The following is a 21,410-nucleotide window of genomic DNA, read 5'->3' on the forward strand; positions in this document are numbered from 1 at the left end:
AAGCTACCAATGACTTTCTTCACAGAATTGGAAAAAACTACTTTAAAGTTCATATGGAACCAAAAAAGAGCCCACGTCGCCAAGTCAATCCTAAGCCAAAAGAACAAAGCTGGAGGCATCACACTACCTGACTTCAAACTATACTACAAGGCTACAGTAACCAAAACAGCATGGTACTGGTACCAAAACAGAGATATAGATCAATGGAACAGAACAGAGCCCTCAGAAACTCTAGATTGTTAAAAAGCAAGTGGTTAGTCTCAGATAAGAAATTTAAAACCGCCAGGCATGTGGCTCATGCCTGTAATCACAACACTTTAGGAGGCCGAGGTGGGTGGATCACCTGAGGTCAGGAGTTCGAGACCAGCTTGGCCAACATAGTGAAACCCTGTCTCTACTAAAAATACAAAATTAGCTGGCTGTTGTGGCACATGCCTGTAGTCCCAGCTAGTCTGGAGGCTGAGGCAGGAGAATAGCTTGAACCTGGGAGGCGGTGGTTGCAGTGAGCCAAGATCGCACCATTGCACTCCAGCCTGGGCCACAGGGCGACTCCATTTCAAAAAAAAAGAAAGAAAAAGGAAAGAAATTTAAAACCTGTATATTTCAATTATCTATTGCTACATGACAAATCATCCCAAAACTTAGTGGCTTAAAACAAAAATGGTTTATTTTTTCAATTATGTAGATTGACTGGAGATTCTTCTGCAGATCTTCCCTGGGCTCTCAAGTGCAGATGCAGGCAGAGGGAGCTCAACTGAAGTTGGGACACCCAAGAGCGTCTTGCTCAATTGGTAATTGGTGCTAGCTATTGGCTGGAAAGCCTTGGCTCTGCTCCACATGACTTCTCATATGCCAGGAGGATACACTGGACTTCTTTATAACATGGTGGACTCAGCATCTCAGGAGGGTGAGAGTTGAAGCTTGCAAAACCTTTTGAGGTCTCATTTCCAGAACTCCTGCAATGTCTCTACTACAATATTCTGTTAGTCAATGTAAGTCACAGGATCATCCCAATTTCAAGAGGGTGGACCAGTAGACCACATCTTGATGAGAGAGGCAGCAATGTCATGTTGCAAAAGGATGTGGACAAAGGGAAGCATGATTCATGGGTGGCCCTTATTATAATTCTCCATATTATTTTTGCCTGGAAATGGCATATGATATAGTGGTTAAGAGTACAGTCTTTGAATTCAAATAGTCTAGTTTCAAATCTTGCCAGTCACATTTACTAGCCTTATCATGCTGGGCAAGGGGCTTAAATCACTCTTTGCCTGTCTCCTCATGGGTAAATTGAGGAGGATATTAATAGTGACCTCCTCATAGGGTGGCTATGATAATTAAGGGTGATCAGTCATCAAAGCCCTGGCACAGAGTGAATGTGTCCTAAAAGCTCTCTGCTCTTCGTACTGATCCTGCTTTTCTGCAGGAGGTGAGGGAGCCACTTCATCCCTCAACTAAGGGCAACAACTTTTGTCTCCCTCCTTCTCCACATCAGCATCAGTTACCCTAACTGTGACCACTTAAGGGTTTGAACATGGAGTCCCTTAACCTTCTGTTGTAGACTCCGTGGGTTAAAGTTCAGTTGAACTGATTATCATTTTGCTCATTCACATACACAGCATCTCTTCAGTGAAAGGCCCAGTTTTGGGCACCGATCTTAAAACAAGGAATGTGACTTACAGCCTCAGTGGGAGGAGTGTGCTTCTGGCATGAATGGCCCCTGTTGTGCCTTGGTAGGCCCTGGCTCCTGAATGCCTAGTTGAGCATGGTTCCAGGTGAGAGCAGCCCTCCACACCTGGGAACCCAACCCCACCTACATACAGCATGCCACCACTTCCTGGTCTTTTCTCCTATCTGGGCTTATGGAACTGAGGGCTAGAGGGGACCTCAGCCCTCAGTTGCTGAGGTCGCTGCTGTGGTCCAATCTGCTGTTAAGTGCCTGAGGTGCACAGACTCCCTAGGTCAAGACTTACCTGTGACTTGACCTGTGACTTGACCATATGTTCTCTGGAATATATGACCTAAGCTTTCTCCAAGGCAATTAAACCATACTCAGCAGTGTGTCTCAAGGCTTTGGAGTCAGGAAGACATGGGTTCAAATCCCTATGTTGACACCTATAGCATCATGACTTAGGGCAAGCGGATATCCTCACTGAGCCTCTCAGTTGTTTCCTCTGTAAAATGGGATAGTCTTTTTTTTCCTTTGCAGGGTTGCTGTCAAGATTAGAAGTAAGTATATAAAGCACAGAGTATGAATATGAGGAGGATTAAATTACATAATTTGCACAAAGTGTCCAAGAATGCATGTAAATAGTAAGCCCTCAAGGAAATGTTACTTCGCTTTCAGTATCATGGTGAATCTAAGCCTGAGGATTTTCATTAATTAATTAATTCATTCATTCAACAAACCACTGCCAATCCTGTGGGAAATGAAAAATGTATATCGAGTTCCAAACTGTTTGCTCCATGAAGATAGGGGTCCTGCTTTTTGTCCCTCACTCTTTAGAAAGTTCTAGTACAATGCCTGGAACACAGTAAGTACAGAATAAATGTCTGTTAAAGAAAAGATAACATAGTCTCTGCCATAACTAAGTTCGATTTTTTTTTTTTTTGAGACCAAGTCTCGCTCTGTCGCCAAGGCTGGAGTGCAGTGGCGCAATCTCAGCTCACTGCAAGCTCCGCCTCCTGGGTTCTTGCCATTCTCCTGCCTCAGCCTCCTGAGTAGCTGGGACTACAGGCGCCCACCACCACACCTGGCTAATTTTTTGTATTTTTAGTAGAGACGGGGTTTCACCGTGTTAGCTAGGATGGTCTTGATCTCCTGACCTCGTCATCTGCCCGCCTTGGCCTCCCAAAGTGCTGGGATTACAGTCGTGAGCCACCACACCCGGCCCTAAGTTTGGATTTGAAGAAAAGATGAGGAATATACACAAATAACTATAATTTCTGATGGATTGATTCAAGTGATCAGAGAGGTACAAGAGTTATGGAAGCAATTATGCCCTACTAGGGGCTGAGACAAAGCTTCAAAGGAGAGATGCATTTACAATGAGCTTAGAGAAATGGATGGGGCCTCAAAGTGCAATATGGTAAGAAGATTGAGAATAGAGGGAGCAAAGCTTAACCCATGGCTGAAAATGAAGCTGAAAATCAGAAATGAAACTCTAAGTGTCTCTTTCTCTGTCTGCATGTTTATATGTCTGTAATTCAGAGATGCCTCAAAAACCTCTCATTATGCGAGTATGTAGTATTTTCCTACCTCTGGCAGTATTACCCAAATTAAATTATAAAATTCCTTAAAGGAGCTGATTGTACTCTGATTGAATTTAAGATGAGTAAGCTCATATATAAATAAAACATTCCTAACATGCTCTGAAACAAAGGAAAATGAGCCTTGAATATTTTCAATGTGAAAAAATAGGTATTCTTATAGAAACTAACTCAAAAACTTTTTTTTAGTTATGTTTATATGATGTAGGTAAATCTTAGGCAAACAAAACTAGTTGAATAATTTTAGTTTAATAAAAACAGCTTTGTTTTCTCTGAGTTAGAATTAAGTATAAGTATACATTTGTATTCTACTTGAGTAAGGTTTTCCTAAATTTATCTAGGTTTACTGATAAAATAAGCTAGCATTACTCCTACTAAATATTTAAGATTTATGAAAAATATAAATTTGTATTTAACCACATCAAATCATTATTCTGACAAACTTTATGTCAACTGTAATTATGATTTTTAGTGTTTAGCTAGAAGATAATTTCCAAGATGTTTAGGTAACTTAAAACCTTGGACTAACACTAAATTAATGAATGGATGTTTAATAGATACATAGATCATTTATAAAAAGAATACTGAAAGAATGTTACTAAGTATAATTTAACTTTATATACGTTTGCCTCTTATTTTTATACACTGAAGAGAAGCTATATATGTTTGGATTGTTAACAAATGTGCTTATTTCTTGCCACTTTGAAAATTATGCTATAAAGGACATGTAATAAGTATAGAATGCTGTGGAAGGGTTGTGAAAAGGAGATTTTATTTATCATGGCCAAAGCTGGCTAAGGTTTGATCAGTTTATTTATGAGATTTTCATGGTCTTTGAGCTATTTTTACACCTCTCTGTAAATTGTAGGTGATGGATATGCGAACTTTGTCTTTTCTGGTAGAGATTAACTGACTTCCTACCTCCCTGTGGAAAACCCGGGTTGGTACCTACTTGCAAGTTGGACTGAATCCTGTTACCTTGCCCAAATTTTCACTTCTTCCAGATTCCTTCGATATGTGGCTACAACTTTCCAAATTAACTTTTTTGGTTTATCGCCCGCTGCCCCAATGGCATTCCTGAGGACCAAAACCCCTCTATGTCCCTATTGGGACCTTAGGTTGCCATGCAGTTGGCCATTTTTCCTAGGATTTGACAAAGGCCTGCAAACCGAAGCTGGACAACTTGATATAAATCTGGAAGGACTCACCATCACTGCAGACCATGCATGAGAAGGAATGATGTTCCTTGTGCCCAGGAAGCTAGGGAGACGTATGAGAAGAAAGGATGGCCTGTTATGTGTAGGCAAGTATGCCTTTAGAGAGCCTCCCAGTTTCCTGCCTGTAACTCAGTGCACCACTGAACTTGCTGAATCATTCCTGAGAGATCAAAACTGGCACAGATGTAGGAATGAAACCCACAGGCTCTAAAGGAGATTTCAGATATGAATGGAGAATAATTTAGAAACCTGAGTGGGCAGGCAATTGAGGGCCCAAAGAACCACTGGACATCTCAACAGATTCCAGCTCAGGGACATAAACTCATAGATCAAATGCACTATCGACTCTCACTTAACACTTAGAAGCACCTCTTGGGAAAAGCAGACATGACCAAATGGACATGCTCTGTTTTAGCTCTGTTTTGACTTACCACCAGATAGGATGATAGCTCAAAACAGAAATTACATACAGTTATAGAAAAGAAAGATATTTGTAGATTATTTGAACCCATTATACATGTTAAGTCGCTACCCTTCAATTGGATGCAAAAGCAAAACACAATACAACCCCAAATCTTTACACTACAGTGATCAAGGCTGGGGGATGTAAGAGATACAGCAATCAGTGTGCAGAGTGAGAACAGAATTGCCTGGGCTTGAGGCTCTAGTGACCTAATGTGAGCCTGTGTTGGTAGAGTCCTGGTGGCCACAGCTAGTGCAGTTCTGACTCTGGGGAGAGGTCAGGTGACCTGACCTTGACCTTCACGTTTATGACAATTTGAGATGTCACATCAATTTTTCTAACTGGGAAGCAGAAAAGTGATACAGGGCTGTATTAGTGCAATCTTTCTCATGCAATATGAAAATAAGCAAGAATTCGGGAAAAGTTTTGTTACTTGTGACTTATTTCTTGTGTATGAGACCACACTGCTTCAGAGTGAAGCCTTCCTGTTTCTCACTATATCTTCCAACCTATCCGTTTCCTTCTTCTTTCATGAAATACTTTTGGGTACTTCCCTAGCATCTCAAGGGATCATCTGGAAGGAAATTCCCAGCCCCCCCCCTTTTTTTTTTTTCTGTGTGAGGGAGTGGGGGCAGGTGAGGAGGAGGGACACAGGGACACAGCTGGCTATTGGTCAAAGTTAAAACCAACATTCCTGACAGTGGAGTTCTGAGCTCTGCACAAGCTCTTCAGGATGTGTTCCTGGACTAAGTGCCAAGGACTACTCCTGGGACTAAGAAAACTCCAGTGGGCTGTCCTCATCACATCAGACTCCCATGGATGTCATGTATCTTATCTAAAGCCAGAGCAAGGCACATGGGATCAGGACCCACAGAGGCACGAAGGACACTTCCATCCCTTCCTCTCCCTCTTCTCCAACAGTCCACACCAAGTCCCACTTGAAGGAAAAGACATACCAGATGACTGGGGTATTCAAAAGAGGTTTAGATCGTAGGAGAAGGTAACTCAGCCTCCTCCAACTTAGAAAATGTCTACAGAAAGCCTGACAAGGGAGAAAGAACCAAAAGAAGGCCAGAAAGATACCTAATGGATTCTTCTTTCTCCATAGTGACCTGATGGAGACAGCCATTCCACTCAGCCTCATCCAAGGACATGGGGACACAACAAGGGACCTCACGAGATCGCTTTACAGACCAGTGAGATACAAAGTCCTCTTCCAAAACCCTTCAGGTCACTTAGACACAGAATCTATACCAAAGTCCCCACAATTCAGACCCCTAATCTCCTTTCCCAGCGGCCTCTGGTCTTTCCACCAAAGGATATTTCAAAAAGTGTACCCATAACTCTCTCCAAACTCCATGAGGGAGGGTTTTGAAGATGGCTTTCTAGAGTGCTGGTCTTCAAACTGAGCTCCTTCAGTCTCTAGAGGTCACAAGAGAAACCTCAGTGTCTCCACGTAAGCAATGGGGAGGCCAAACGGGATGGATAGGCTCCTGATCCCCAGTCCCAAGTCAACCACAGCAGTCTATCTGTTTTATATTTTGGGCTTTTGGGTAAAATTTTATCTGCAAAAAGCCTCCAATGCCAGAAAAACTATTTTTAAACCTTTGAGCTGGAGGATGCATCTCAGTATCCCTATTGCATCCTCACACTCAGGCAGACTTTGAGGGAGGTGGTACATGGCAGAGGGTGGGAATGGGCACTGGGCACACAAGTTCCAGGTACCTCACTAACATTATTAAAGGTCCGGATAAGGATATAGCCTGTCTCAGTTTATAGCAACTATGAAGAAATGGTTGTCTTGATAAAAAAAATTTACTGTTACCTTCTCCCAGTAAAATAAAACTCAGACCTTCCAAAATTTGGCCTGGAAGGAGAATCTCCAGGTAAAGAATGTGAATTAGACCTAGAAACACTTTTTTCTGTTCCTCTGGGTTCCATGTATCATTTTCCTCTTTGGATTTTCTCAATTGCTCAGTGTTTCTACTCTGCAGCATTCCCCCACTATGCCTGACAGGAGAAGTGCTGTTCCTCAGCATCTATCTGTCTTCAAACATCTTTCCATTTCCTCCTAAAATGGCAACAAGTCACCTCCACAGATTCCTCAGCTGAGATAAGATTGGAATTTTCAAGAAACAATTACATATTAAGGGGAAGTAAAATGGAGGGGGAGTACAAATCATTTAAATGATGCAACTTTCAAGCACATGGCTCTGATCCACCTGAACTTTCAAGCATGGGAGTCTTATTCCACCTGAACTGAATTATTCCCCAGGGATTTCACCCCTTCTCATTTCATGTGGGATCCATGAGTGGCTGTAAGCTAGCTATCCAAAGGGCCAGATCACCTCCAGAGCCTTTGCTTAAGCCCTCACTTCAAAACTCCCATCCTGTTGCCACCCCCGCCCCCAGGAACTTGACTCTTTCCATGGACAAAACCAAAAATCAGTCATCTCTTCTTCCTACCTAAGGTTGGTCCGGAGGCACATTTCTTCTGCAGGGATTGGCAAGGAAGATTTCAGTCTTCAAGGTAGATTTTTCACTATAAACATTGATATGACTTTATCCTTTCAGGTCAGAGTCTATCATTGCCTTAATTCTTTTAAAACCAGATGGGGAAATTGTAAATTGAAATATAATGTTTATGAAGAGCATTATATTTGGCCTGAAGGCTGTGAGAGGTAGGGTGAAAATGTTTTTATGAATCCCTGGAACTTGAAGTTTATCTTAATCCCTTACCCTCTGTCCAGGTCTGTTGCTGGGCCTGGGCAATGGATGCGTTTTTCAGTAATAAAGAGAAGAATTTGAAGTTCCAACAGATGATTCAGGAAATGAGGAAAGATGACTAGGGGGTGGGTGCTACATAAAGAAGGAATTTGAAGACAGCAGGAATATCTCAAAATGGACTTTGGCATGACTGTTATAAATTCTTCCTCTAACTCCTCTACAGAATCTTTAATAAAGTCTACAATGCTCTTTTGTACATTTGTGCGAGTGAATTCTCTTAGGCATTGACTTTCATGTCAGGTTGGGTCATTCTTGGTGCAACACAAAGGCGGCACTGGAGGGAAACAAAGTGTGGAGGCAAATGGGCCACGAGACTTTAAGTCCTCAGGAAACAGATGTCAGGGGTGGGGGAATGGTTTCCCCAGGCTGTGAAACGGAGATGTGAGGCTTGTGTTTGGCTGCAACTTGTGGGTCCAGCAGGCTCTAGCTGACCAGAACTACAACATGATAAATTGTCATTTCAATCCTTCACTGGCTACCCATTGTCTAAGTCCATACTCCTTGGCAGGAGAGGTGCTGCTCCTCCAAACTTTCTTCCTTCAAACATTTTTTCCATTTTCCTCTAAAAATGGCAACAGTTCCCTTTCACAGATTCAATAGCTAAGACTGGAATTTTCAAAACAACTAAGTATTGGAGAGTAAAAGGGGAAAAAAAGTATAAATCATTTAAATGATGCTACCTCCTGCAATAGGGCTCTGAGTCTTTGTATGGATGATACATAAAGCCCTTTCAAATCTGGCCTGCCACCTCTCCATTGTCATTTCTCCCATACACTGCCTTGCCACTGCATGCTACAGCATTACCATTTGCAAGAAACCTAAATGACGACACTCTAACCCCACCAAGGAAAACAAATTACTCTTCTCTGTCTCTTCCGAGCATAGCATTCCAGATCATTTTGCATAAATATTTATTGACATGCTTGGCTCTCCTAAAAGATTTTGTGAGTTTCCAACCCCAGAACCCACTGAGTGCTTAAAAAGTAGTAGAATCTCAATGAATGTTTGTTGAATTAAAACGATTCCAAAGATTGATGTTAAAACAGAAAAGGAACAGACAGACAGAGTTGGAACGGCAATTCTGCCACTTACTGGCTTGACAACTTTGGACCAGTTCCTTAATCTCTCAGTGTCAACTGCTTCATCCATCAATAATGGTACTTTGTAGAGAGAAGGTGAAAGCATATAAAGTATCTGGTCCCAGTGGTCGCTCTTAATTAGTAGGCCAGGGGCTTCCCAGATTTTTCATTATCAGCAATGAAATATTTCATAGAACCAGATAAGAGCAGAGCTACTGTAACTTAGGGGTGCAGCCTCAGAGCCCCACCTGCTTAGCTACACCCACATCTTGACCTACTCACTCCCACCCCAGAAGAACCCCAGGACTCCCAGAGCATGGAGTAAAATCTACTGTCTTAAAACAGCATGGGAGGCATACAACTAGTAGTATGTGAGATGATTTTAAGTGGCATAAAGACATAACATTAAATAATACTGATACCAATAACTTTAAAAAAGTTATTCTCTCTTCAATTCTCTTTTAATTTTTCTGATTCTTTTGGGGGAAAGTCTCAGTTTGGGGTCAATACATCTTTAACTCCTCTCTTTCTCCTCCTAGGGTCCCAATATTAAAAGACAGCCAACCACAAGCTCAGAATCTTTAGCCAACAATAGTACCTAGCTAGAATTAATGCTATGAATTTGTGCAGTTTCCATCTCTACCTATATCATATTCTGTATGTTTGGACAAATTATTTGACAACAAACTTCCTTCATTCATGAGGATTAACATGGATTTATTCTGAATGTATTTATTGAGTGACTTCTATGTGCCAGGCAGCATGGTGGAATACAGTGGTGAATCAGGCAAATGAGATCTTCATTCTCATGGATCTTCCAATCTGGAGGGAGATCTAGATAAATAAACAGACAATTTATTTATATACTGTGATAAGTGCCACTGGGGGCATATGGTGTGCTGGGCAGACACTTTAGAGGGATGCCTAACTTGGACTTCGGTGAGGGGGTAGGCAAAGAAATATTTTTTTAAAAAAATAGCGTCTCAGTTTAATTCTGAAGCAGTAGTATTTGATCAAGAATGAGGAGAGGAAACCACATGTACAAAGGTCTAGATGTAAGGAACACTGAAAATGTTGACTTCCTAGTATATGTCTGGAACATAGCAGGTATTCAATAAATGGCAGCAGCCTTTAGAACTACTACAGATGAGATGGGGCATGTTCAGGATGGTATGGCTGTAGACCCTATAGAACTTTTACAATGTCCTTAGCCTCCAAAGGTATTAGATTTATCTCTGTGGCCTCAGTTCCTGGCACATAGTAGATAATCAGTAAGTGTTGAAAACTGAATAATCAAATAAATAAATGAGTGAATAAATGAATGAATAAGTAATTATTAATTTCTGTCTCCTCCTAACGACCTCCCATACTAGAAGCCACATTCTCACTCAGACTTTACCTAGAATAGTGTGGTTCCCTCGCACTGTAGAGAGAGTGAGGCTGCAGCCTGGTTTTGACTTTGGACTTGGGAGATATCCACTGGGTTCATCTGGAATCATGTGGCCTCCTCCCCTCTAACAGAGGAGAGAGTATGCTTTTTTCCTTCTTATAACACTGATGCTAATGAGATGCACGTAGATGATTCTTGTTTGAAAGTCTGTCTGAATGACATCTATTTGTCATCCCAGAGACCCACACAGAGCTTAGCAATTGGTAGTATTGTGAAAACAATAACAGCAACAATAAAAGCCAAACAAACAAAAAAGAGAGTGGCTGTGGGGCTGCCTTATCTTCTGGAGCCATGTCTGATTGTGGCTTATGGACAAATGGAGCAACTTAGCAGGTGGAAGAGCATTAAAAACCTGAGAACAAGTTATAGGGAAGTCTGAAGCTAATAGTCATATACTGATGAGTTAATGAATTAATGGGTTATCATGGGCGTAGGACCAAGGCTTTGAGAGAGACCTGGGCTAGCACGCTCAGCCGCTTTGCCATGTGATACCCTATAACACTTTGGGATTCTGCAGAGTCCCCACCAGCAAGAAGACCCTCACCAGATGTGGCCCCTTGACCTTGGACTTCTCTGCCTCCATAACTATCAGAAATTAATTCTTTTCCTCTAGAAATTACCCAGTTTGAGGTACTCTATTATAAGCAACAGAAAATGGACTAAGACACTGGGCGTCGTGCTAAGTGCTGTATGTATGTTACTTCATTTAACCCCCGCAAGGACCCTTAGGAATAGAGACTGATATTATCTGCATTTTACAGGTGAGAAAACTGAGGCTTGGAGAGTGATGTGACTTGCCAAGGTCACACTTTTAGACAGGGATAGCTTGGATCAAACACAGTTTGTGTAACAGCAGAGCTGGTACTCTTAACCTCTTAACCACAGTCCCATAAGCGAAAAAGGGAGTGGGGTTCAGCATATGCCTTATTAGAACACTGAATAAACATTTATTCAGAAATCAGAGAAAAATATAAGAAACAGATTGAAGTAGAGCTAGCCACTCAACCAATCCCAATAATAGAATCTTTTTTGTTTTGTTTTGTTTTCTATTTTGAGCCACATTACCTCAGATTGCAGTGTGGCATTAACTATCAGTTTAGTCTTTCTTAATTTCCAATAAGTCAGTTTTCACTGTGGCAACAAGGTCAGTCCCTAAAAGCAGAGACTGAGTTGGGAGTTATTTCTGCCTCTGGAATTATAAAATGGCCCCTTACTTTGCAATTTTTTCCTATTTTGCAGAATGACGTCTACTTCTTCTTTCCAAATCTCAGCACCCACATGCTAGAGAACGATGTGCAGACTATTAACAAAATATTTTCTTTAGATCCATCTTCAAATCCCAATGTGTGATTGGCCTGCAGAACCATCACTACACCCTCCAGGACTTGTTCCTTTGAAGTTAGGCCCCAAATATGTGCCTTCAAGATTCACCTTGAACAGGAATAATTTCTGTCATTGATTAAGGGCTAATCAATGTGCATGGAGCAGTCAGAATCAGGAGGCCCAGCTGGAACCACTAAGGTCCAGTGGGAGCCCGACCCAGAATCCAAAGCTATGATGCAGCCAGGCACTCTCCATTTCTCTCTGCTGGCTTCGTTCTCCCTCCCCAAGCTTCTCAGTGTCACTGCAAAAGGTCATGCAGCTGCTATGATTAGCATGACTACAAATCTCTGTTATCTAATCTCAGCTGGGCCCTCAGTGACACTCAGAAGTTTTTACTGATCCTGAGTGACTCCCCATCACATTCCCCATGGCACATTTTCCAACTGTTTTCCTTTTGTTAAGCCCCCAACCCACTCCAGCACCCTTACCCACATCCCTTTCCTTGCTTAGCAGATTGGGGTTGATGTCCTTCTTTCCCATTAAAAACTTCCTCATTTCTTCCCATCCTTTCCTGTCTCCTCCCTGCCCTCTCAGGGAGGCCCATCCCCTAGGCTTTATGAGATACTCTCCCCCATCCCTAACCCTAGTCCTAAAGATCATACTCCCTGTCTCTTCCCCTTGTTCTCAAACCTTATCCTTCAGCTTCCCCAGCCCATCACCTCAGTTTATAAACAGGTTCCAGGGCTCCCCATGCAAATAAATGCAGAAATGAATCAACAACTATTTTTTTTTCAGTGCTTTCTTCCCAAAACACCATCCCAACTTTCCCTTTAATAGCTATTTTCTTCTCTTCACCTCTTGGACTTTATAGTTTTAAATTATGTAAGTAATCTATGTTCATGGTAGAAAAGTTAGAAGCTGCATATTGGCAAAAGAAAAAAATCTGCCATAACCCCTCAGGAATAACTTTGTTATCATCTTGAAATATATCTTCTAAAGGTTTTTCCATGCATTCATGTACAAAAATAGGTTAAACTGATTTTATTTTATTTTATTTTATTTTATTTTATTTTTTTATTGATCATTCTTGGGTGTTTCTTGCAGAGGGGGATTTGGCAGGGTCATAGGACAATAGTGGAGGGAAGGTCAGCAGATAAACAAGTGAACAAAGGTCTCTGGTTTTCCTAGGCAGAGGACCCTGCGGCCTTCCGCAGTGCTTGTGTCCCTGGGTACTTGAGATTAGGGAGTGGTGATGACTCTTAACGAGCATGCTGCCTTCAAGCATCTGTTTAACAAAGCACATCTTGCACCGCCCTTAATCCATTTAACCCTGAGTGGACACAGCACATGTTTCAGAGAGCACTGGGTTGGGGGCAAGGTCATAGATCAACAGCATCCCAAGGCAGAAGAATCTTTCTTAGTACAGAACAAAATGGAGTCTCCTATGTCTACTTCTTTCTACACAGACACAGGAACAATCTGATTTCTCTATCTTTTCCCACATTTCCCCCTTTTCTATTCCACAAAACCGCCGTCGTCATCATGGCCCGTTTTCAATGAGCTGTTGGGTACGCCTCCCAGACGGGGTGGCGGCCGGGCGGAGGGGCTCCTCACTTCCCAGACGGGGCGGCTGCGGGGCGGAGGGGCTCCTCACCTCTCAGACGGGGCGGCTGCCAGGCCGAGGGGCACCTCACTTCTCAGATGGGGCGGCGGCCGGGCAGAGACGCTCCTCACCTCCCAGACGGGGTCGCGGCCGGGCAGAGGCGCTCCTCACATCCCAGACGATGGGCGGCCGGGCAGAGACGCCCCTCACTTCCCAGACAGGATGGCGGCCGGGAAGAGGCGCTCCTCACCTCCCAGACTGGGCAGCCGGGCAGAGGGGCTCCTCACATCCCAGACGATGGGCGGCCAGGCAGAGACGCTCCCCACTTCCCAGACGGGGTGGCGGCCGGGCAGAGGCTGCAATCTCGGCACTTTGGGAGGCCAAGGCAGGCGGCTGGGAGGTGGAGGTTGTAGCTAGCCGAGATCACGCCACTGCACTCCAGCCTGGGCAACATTGAGCACTGAGTGAACAAGACTCCGTCTGCAATCCCGGCACCTCGGGAGGCCGAGGCTGGCAGATCACTCGCGGTTAGGAGCTGGAGACCAGCCCGGCCAACGCAGCGAAACCCCGTCTCCACCAAAAAAATACGAAAACCAGTCAGGCTTGGTGGCGCGCGCCTGCAATCGCAGGCACTCGGCAGGCTGAGGCGGGAGAATCAGGCAGGGAGGTTGCAGTGAGCCGAGATGGCAGCAGTACAGTCCAGCTTCGGCTCGGCATCAGAGGGAGACCGTCGAAAGAGAGAGAGAGGGAGAGGGAGAGGGAGACCGTGGGGAGAGGGAGAGGGAGAGGGAGAGGGGAATTTTTGTCTAAACTGATTTTAAAATAAAGATAAAATAACATTCTACATTGTATGCTGTAACCTGCTTTTCTTTAATTCAGTCTACTCAACATCTTTGCTTTGGGGCCTCCCAGATAATACAGGATAATCTCACATCTCAAGATTCTTAAACTCATTTGCAAAGTCCATTTTGCTATGTAAGGTAACATATTCACATGTTCCAGCAGGGATTAGAACAAAGACATCTCTGGGGGAGGGTGGCATTATTCTGCCTATCACAAGTTGTCCGTAGCCTAGGGAAGTGGAAGGGAGCAGAGTGGTAGTTGGGGGATTCCAGGCACAGGGAACAGCAGAGTGTGATGGGACTTCCTTCTCTCCCCACTCCCAAAGCCTCCATGCTGATAAATATACTCTCTTTTAAAAAAATAAGTTTGTAGCTATTATGGACATTTTTTTGTGTGTGAACTCAATCTTTCTTCTTGGAAGATACCTTTTTCCCACAGCATGTGATTCTGGAAGGTTTGTCAAGGAAGAAAGGCACATGTGATCAGGCTGACTAGTCACAGTACCCCACTCCTTGGGGCACAGTAACTGGTTGAAGGATGGGCAAGTGACCCAAACAGGGCCAATCTGACTGTTTGTGGGAGGGGCCTGGTCTGGATGCTGAGACAAGGAAGCTCTAGTTGTTGATACTTTGCAAATTGCTGATAAATACTGTGAGCTCTAGAAACGCTGGAACCACTGGGGGCTACTTTCTTACATCTAGAGAAATCCTGTCTAAAAAGGGAGCCATCCCAGCGGAGAGAATTGAGAGAGAGAGAGAGAGAGAGAGATCAGAGGATATCATCTGAACATTTATTCCAGCGTGCCTAAAGCAGACAAGTTCTAGACTCTTCAATTGCATTAGCCAATAAATTCTTTTTTTTTTTTTTTTTTTGAGATGGAGTCTCGCTCTGTCGCCCAGGCTGAAGTGCAGTGGCGGGATCTCAGCTCACTGCAAGCTCCGCCTCCCGGGTTCATGCCATTCTCCTGCCTCAGCCTCCCAAGTAGCTGGGACTACAGGAGCCCACCACAAGCATTAGCCAATAACTTCTTTTTCTTCCTTTGCTTGAACTAATTTGATTCAGGTTTCTGTTACTTAAAATAAAGAGTCTTCACTAATAAAATATTATTCCATAATATGGATGCATTAAAATAAAATTAACCACATTCCCTAATGTTGAGTCTTTGGACCGTTTCCAACTTGTACTATTTTAATAATACCATAGTAAACCTCCTTGTACATATATCTCTATGCATATTACTGATAATTTAGAACACATTCAAAGAAATATATTTAGAATACATTCTAATGTATTCTTTAGAATACATCCAAAGAAACTCATCAATTAAGCCTACTGCAATCTGGCTGCAGCCCCACAGCTCTGCTTAAATTGCCCTCTGCTAGGGCACCAAACATTTCCTCATTGCCTATTCCAGCAATTCTTTTTTCATCCTCATTCTGTTCAACCTATTCACATTCCTTCTATCTGTAAAATCCTCCTGGGCTTCAGTGAGTCTTTCTCCCAGCTCCTATTCCTACTTCCAGGGTTCAATTTGGGCACCAATTCTGAAGAACTGGTAGGACTACTGGGAGGAGTCCCAGTAGTTGTGAACAGTTTTTTAAATCGCAACAAAGCTTGGCAGGAGAATGTGTGATCAATAATTAACAATGTTTTCCAATGTACTGACGCATGGTGGGTGGGGAAGGAAAATGCTAAAAATTGTAGCAAGAGAGCCAAACATTTGCCATTGCTATAACCAGAGTTTCTTAATCTGGAGGATAAAGGTTAGGAGATGCCCTGGGGATTTCAAAGTGACCCCAGAGCTTCATGAATCCCCTGGAGTTAGATGCAAATATTGTGTGATCACATCTAGGTATCTAGGATCTCCAGGAAGATCAAGAGCCATTTCTATAGGACAGTCTCCTGACCTGTGTTTTCCTCAAGTGGCCTTGCGGAACTTATTGTTCGGAGAAAGAAAAAGTCAAGTGACCCAGTAATTACCCATCAAACTGATGCATGAAATGACATCGGGAAAATGTAGGTGGTCCCTGCAAGATTCTTTAGGGAGAAACACAAGGTCTTCTTACACTGCCCTGTGGGCTGGCCCAGCATGACTTGGCTGAGTAGGGAGGGAGGGCAGGCAAGTTGAGAGAAGGTACAGCTGCTCTCCATGATGTGCATTTCATTCTTTAACTCTGTTCTCCTAACCCACTCCTGGACAGCTCTACCTCAGCTTCTCCCAAAACTATTTCTAGCTCTCCAGTGCCCAAGAAGCCTGCACAGTGTACTGCCAGAGGCCTCCCTCCAGCTGTGCCCCAAAGTGCAGAAGTTTGTGACATCTGGAAATGTGCACATTTGGGAAACAGTGCTCAGGCCAGCTACATTTGGCTTTGAGTATGATTTGCTTCTGCCCTTTCTGTCTATTGTAGGCCTCTTTAATTATGGTGGCTCCGTTAAGATCTCCTTATCTTGGTGACTATCAATGTTTTGAATTCCTTGCTTTTTTCCCCCCAAGTTTAATGAGAAATATTTCCTGTCAACATTTCTTCTGTCCTCTCTGGTGACTGTAACTTCAGCTGTTATCTTCAGTGAAATTCATTAAAAAGGATGAATATCTCATGTTCCAAGATCACTAGCAGAGATGTTAAATGGAAGAAGATTGAACCACAGGCTTCTTCATATCCTCTTGAGACCTCCCAGAATCCAGCCTGGAAACTGTATTTCTAGGTATTCTGTGGTCATAGTTCCACACTGCACCTTGACAGACCTCTCTGGATCCCTTCCAAGAATATAATTTCTTGAGACCAATTCAATGTCTTATTAATATTTTAATCTGCATCCTGTGACCCATGAAAATCTCTAACCCGTGCTTTCCAAATACCATTCAATCTTCCACAGAGTACCTATAGTGAGATATTTTTCTCCCCACATAATTACTTGGAGCATTGCTTCACATAAAAATCTGGCATTCACACATCTCAATCTGGCATTCAGGGCCCTACAGTTTGATGTCCTTTCCTTCTAGAAGTTATGTGCATTTCATTCTTTAGCCCCTACAAGGACATGTGCTCTGGACTCAGATGACCTTAGTTCAGATTGTGATGCATATACTTCCTAACTATGTGACTTTGGAGAAGCTAATTAATATCTCAGAGTCTAAGTTTCTTCTGTCATGGAGTGACTGACAGAATTAAATTGCATAACATCATTAAGAGATTTAAATGAGATAATGCATGGAAAGCATTTAGCAAAGTGCCTGGACCATAGTAAGTGCTTTTGGTGAGCAGAATGGCCCCTCAAAGAGGTCCACACCTTAATCCCTGGAACCTGAGAAAGAAAAAAAACTCAGATGTAATTAAGGTTAAGGATCTTCAAATGGGGAGATTTTCCTGGATTATCTGATTGGGCCAAATATAATCACATGAATCCTTAAAAGCAAGGAACATTTTCCTAATAGAGGCAGAAGGATACAGAAGGAGGAGTTAGAAGTTAGAAAGATTCAAAACATGAGAAAGACTCAGTGTTGTGGCCCACTCTGAAGAATGGAGTGGGCCATGGATGTGGACTGCAGATAGACCTTTAAGAGGTAAGGGTGGTCCCCAGCTGACAGTCAGAATGGAAGCAGGGACCTCAGTCCTACAACTCTAAGGAACAGGTTTGGCCAACAAGCTTGGAAGTAGGTTCTTCCTCTGAGCGTCCAGTAAGAAATGCAGCCCTGCTAACACCTTAATTTTAGCCTGGAGAGACCCATGTTAGGCTTCTGCCTCCAGAAACTGTGAGATAATTTATTTTAGCTGTTAATTCGTGATAATTTGTGATGGCAGCAATAGAAAATGAATCCATTGCTAAGCAATATTGGCTATGATTTGCCAGCCACACTGGCCTAAGATTCCCCAGCTCACCTGCCGCCATCTTCCAGTTGTGGGAAAATCCCTTTCCTCAAATAACTATCTTCAAAGCCTTGTTCAGATCCACCTCTTTTATACTGTCTTTCATGACCCTTCTATGAGCATGAGTCAGCCATGAGCTTCCAGAGAACAAAATTATATGCTTTCGTCATTCCAAACCTATTCTGTTTGAGCCACTTACTACCTGTTGTCTTCCCAACTCCATGGAAGGACACATCTATATTTTACAGACTGTATATTTATAAGACTGTTTTCTCTGCTGGCTGGGAGGGGAAAGGACAATTAATACTCAGAGTTTTCTCTGTGTCAGGCCCTGTGCACATAAATTATTTTACTCTTACAAGAACCCTATGGGGTAGAGAGACACTTTTTTATAGATACCTCAGAGGAGAAAAACTTATCCATGTCCAACAGCCTCCAAGAGGAAAAGCTGTGATCTGATTCCTGGTAGATTCAGGTCTGCTTGATTCTAAATTTGTTGTTATTTCCACTATATTGTGGTGTTTCTCATAAATATCACCTTTGTCATCATTACAATGAACATTTGTATAGCCCCTTAGAGAGTAGCTCACATGGCAGGCTTTTAAGGAAGGTTTTATTATCCTAATTTTAAAGTTCACACAGTCCCTGAGAGACACCATTAGGATTTGAGCAGGATTTCTTACTGCAGAAACAGTGTTTTTTCCACGATACCACAGCTAGTTCCAATCAATGTTGATGAATTAAATGTTACGCAGCTTCGGGCTTGTGTTCTCTCTCTCTCTCTCTCTCTCTCTCTCTCTCTCTCTCTCTCTCTCTCTCTCTCTCTCTCTCGTTTCTCTCCCTCTCTTGTTTCTCTGTCTTGATTATATGTGCCACACCTCCCAGTTCTGGGTCAACTGCAAATTGCTTTTGTGTCACGCTGACTTCTCCCAGATTACACACCCAGATATAGGGAATGATACAGATTCTGACATCAGCTTCTAAAGCCTCTAGGCCGCTCCACCCACAGATAAACCAGATCAAATTCCCCTTTGTTTAGGAACTTCTGGTCAATTTTAAGTCAACATGACTTTTTAAAATGTTGTAAAATATCCTCAGTATTTACCATTTTAACCATTTTAAAGTCTAGTTCAGTAGTAGTAGGTACATTCACCTTGTTGCACAACCATTGCCATTATACATCTCTGGAACTTTTTCATCTTTCCCAGTTGGAAACTCCCCATTTCCCCTCCTTCCAGCCTCTGGCAACCACCATTCTACTGTCTTTCTCTATGAATTTGACTACTTTCAGGTATCTCATGTAAGTGGAATCATACAATATTTGTCCTTTTGTGACTGGCTTATTTCATTTGGCATAATGTCTTCAAGATTCATCCATGCTGTGTCAGAATTTCATTCCTTTTTAAGGCTGAATAATATTTCACTGTATATATAGTACATACTGATTATTCATTCATCAATCAATGGACACGAGGTGCTTTCACATTTTGGCTATTGGGAACAATGCTGCCATAAACATTGGTGTACACATATCTTATCAAGTTCCTACTTTCAATTCTTTGGGATATATCTTCCCAGAAGTAGAATTGCTGGATCACATGGTAAGTCTATGTTTAATTTTTTTTTTTGAGACAGCATCTTGCTCTGTCGCCTTGGGTGGAGTGCAGTGGCACTACCTTGGCTCACTGCATCTATGTTTAATTTTTAAAGGAACTGTGACACTATTTTCCACAGTGGCTGCAACATTTCGATTCCCATCAGCAGTACACAGCGTTCTAATTTCTCCTCATCCTTGCCAACACTTTATGTTCTATCTTTCTGATGATAGCTATCCTAGTGAGTGTGAAGCAGTATCTCATTGTGGTTTTGATTTACAGCCCTACTGATTATTAACCATTTGTATAACTTCTTTGGAGAAATGTCTATGCCTGTCCTTTGCCCATTTTTCAATCAGTTGTTTTTTTTGTTATTGTCAGTGTGACTTTTCATAAGTAAACTTTAAGTTTTTTATTTCAAAAATAACACATCAAGTGTTAAAAAATAAATTTAAAATCACATTTAATTCCACCACACGGAAAACCAGAGGAAGTTACTTTTAAATTAAAATGTTCCTAGAAATAGCTTAAAGATTTTATATCTAATACTATAAATTGAGTATATTAAATGCATTAGGGACCTACTATTTTATAAGCAATTTCTCTGGTTTGATACATTTTCTTTGAAAAAAGAAAAAAGAAACCCGTATTGCATTTTGCTTACTATGTTTTTTAAGTCTCTAGGGTTACTTGTTACCTTCATACTCGTTTCATTAAGTTTATTACCAGATAAAACAGGGTCTACATTCTTCCTTGAATATAAATCAGTTTCCTAATTCTGTCCTCTAGAACTGTCTTCATTTTTCTTTACTTTATACAAGTTAAGGCAAACACTCACTTCCAACACCCCTGAGAACTTAGATCTAGCTCTGCTGATTCTGCAAAGTTCTCATTTGCTAAGTGCTCCCTAGCCTGCTTTCCATCAAAAGTTACAATAGTGTTTTCACTACTTCTTAATTATCCATACTACTGGGCTCTGGTTTCCTTGTGAGCAAAAGCAAATAATAATTGGTGCAACTGCATTTTTCTTTGTTTAGATTATTATTCTTTTCTCTATAGAGTTTGATTTGACACAGCATTTTCTGTTTTTGTAATTATATATGCAAACATTTTTCCCCAAACTCTAAACCTCATACTATTGACTCCTTCATTTCTCAGTAATCCTTGACCCTATTTCTGGGTGCCTCAATACAGGTTACTAGATTTTCTCATGCTTCTCCTTTTTATAAAGTGAGGGCATTGCTTTTTTATGCTAATTTCCCAGATGTGATCCTGCTTTAATTACCTACAAAATTAAATTACCATTTAATCAAATTTTATTTGTAGAGATTGTGCCTCACTGTTTAGTCACAGTAGAGTCTATTGAATAGACCAATTATACTTACTGATAATCCTTGGTGAATTATTATTACTTATTACAGTATTAAAGTATTCCATGAGTCTATACTATATGTATAATAATAACAAAAGTCACTTTTTTGGAGTGTTTACTATGTGGTAGGCATTTTTCTAAGCACTTGACATAAGTTAATTTATCCCAACAAATCTGTGATAACTTAATTGTCATCATTTTATGATGACACTCACATATAGAAATATTAAGTATATTGCCCAAGGTCACATAGCTAATAAAAGATATGGCCACAGTTTGTACCTAGGCAGGCTGAGTGTCATGTTAGGTGTTTGTTCATAGGACATGTCAATGGCTGTCTAGATATATACATGAACTTTCAAATAAGTATGTATTCTCTGAGGAGTTACCAAATGTGTTCATTTATTCAAAGTGCACTTACTAAGCATTGACTCAATGCCTCCATTATGATACACTCCATAGAAAGAGATTCAGCAAACCAATATCTACACTTGAGGGAATTTAAATCTAGCTGAGATCTACAGATATAGATACGACAC

General features: G+C 41.9%; 1 long non-coding RNA gene across 1 annotated transcript, besides 1 other annotated feature; it reads left to right on the top strand.

The window, feature by feature from the left end:
• The first annotated feature begins 537 nt into the window (after positions 1-537).
• Positions 538-7,933, top strand: LOC102724775 (uncharacterized). Its single transcript, XR_950387.4, has 2 exons — positions 538-7,480; positions 7,701-7,933. It is a non-coding gene; the product is annotated as an uncharacterized LOC102724775 (long non-coding RNA).
• Positions 9,671-9,840: an enhancer, noted in NCBI's record as "experimental_21766 CRE fragment used in MPRA reporter constructs". NCBI's record gives its function as "activates a minimal promoter by MPRAs in K562 erythroleukemia cells, with activity observed for both the introgressed and non-introgressed 11:86478331 variant alleles {active_cell/tissue: K562}" and the evidence as "EXISTENCE:reporter gene assay evidence [ECO:0000049][PMID:34662402]".

Source organism: Homo sapiens, chromosome 11 (assembly GCF_000001405.40).
Source record: "Homo sapiens chromosome 11, GRCh38.p14 Primary Assembly".
Lineage (NCBI taxonomy): Eukaryota > Metazoa > Chordata > Mammalia > Primates > Hominidae > Homo > Homo sapiens.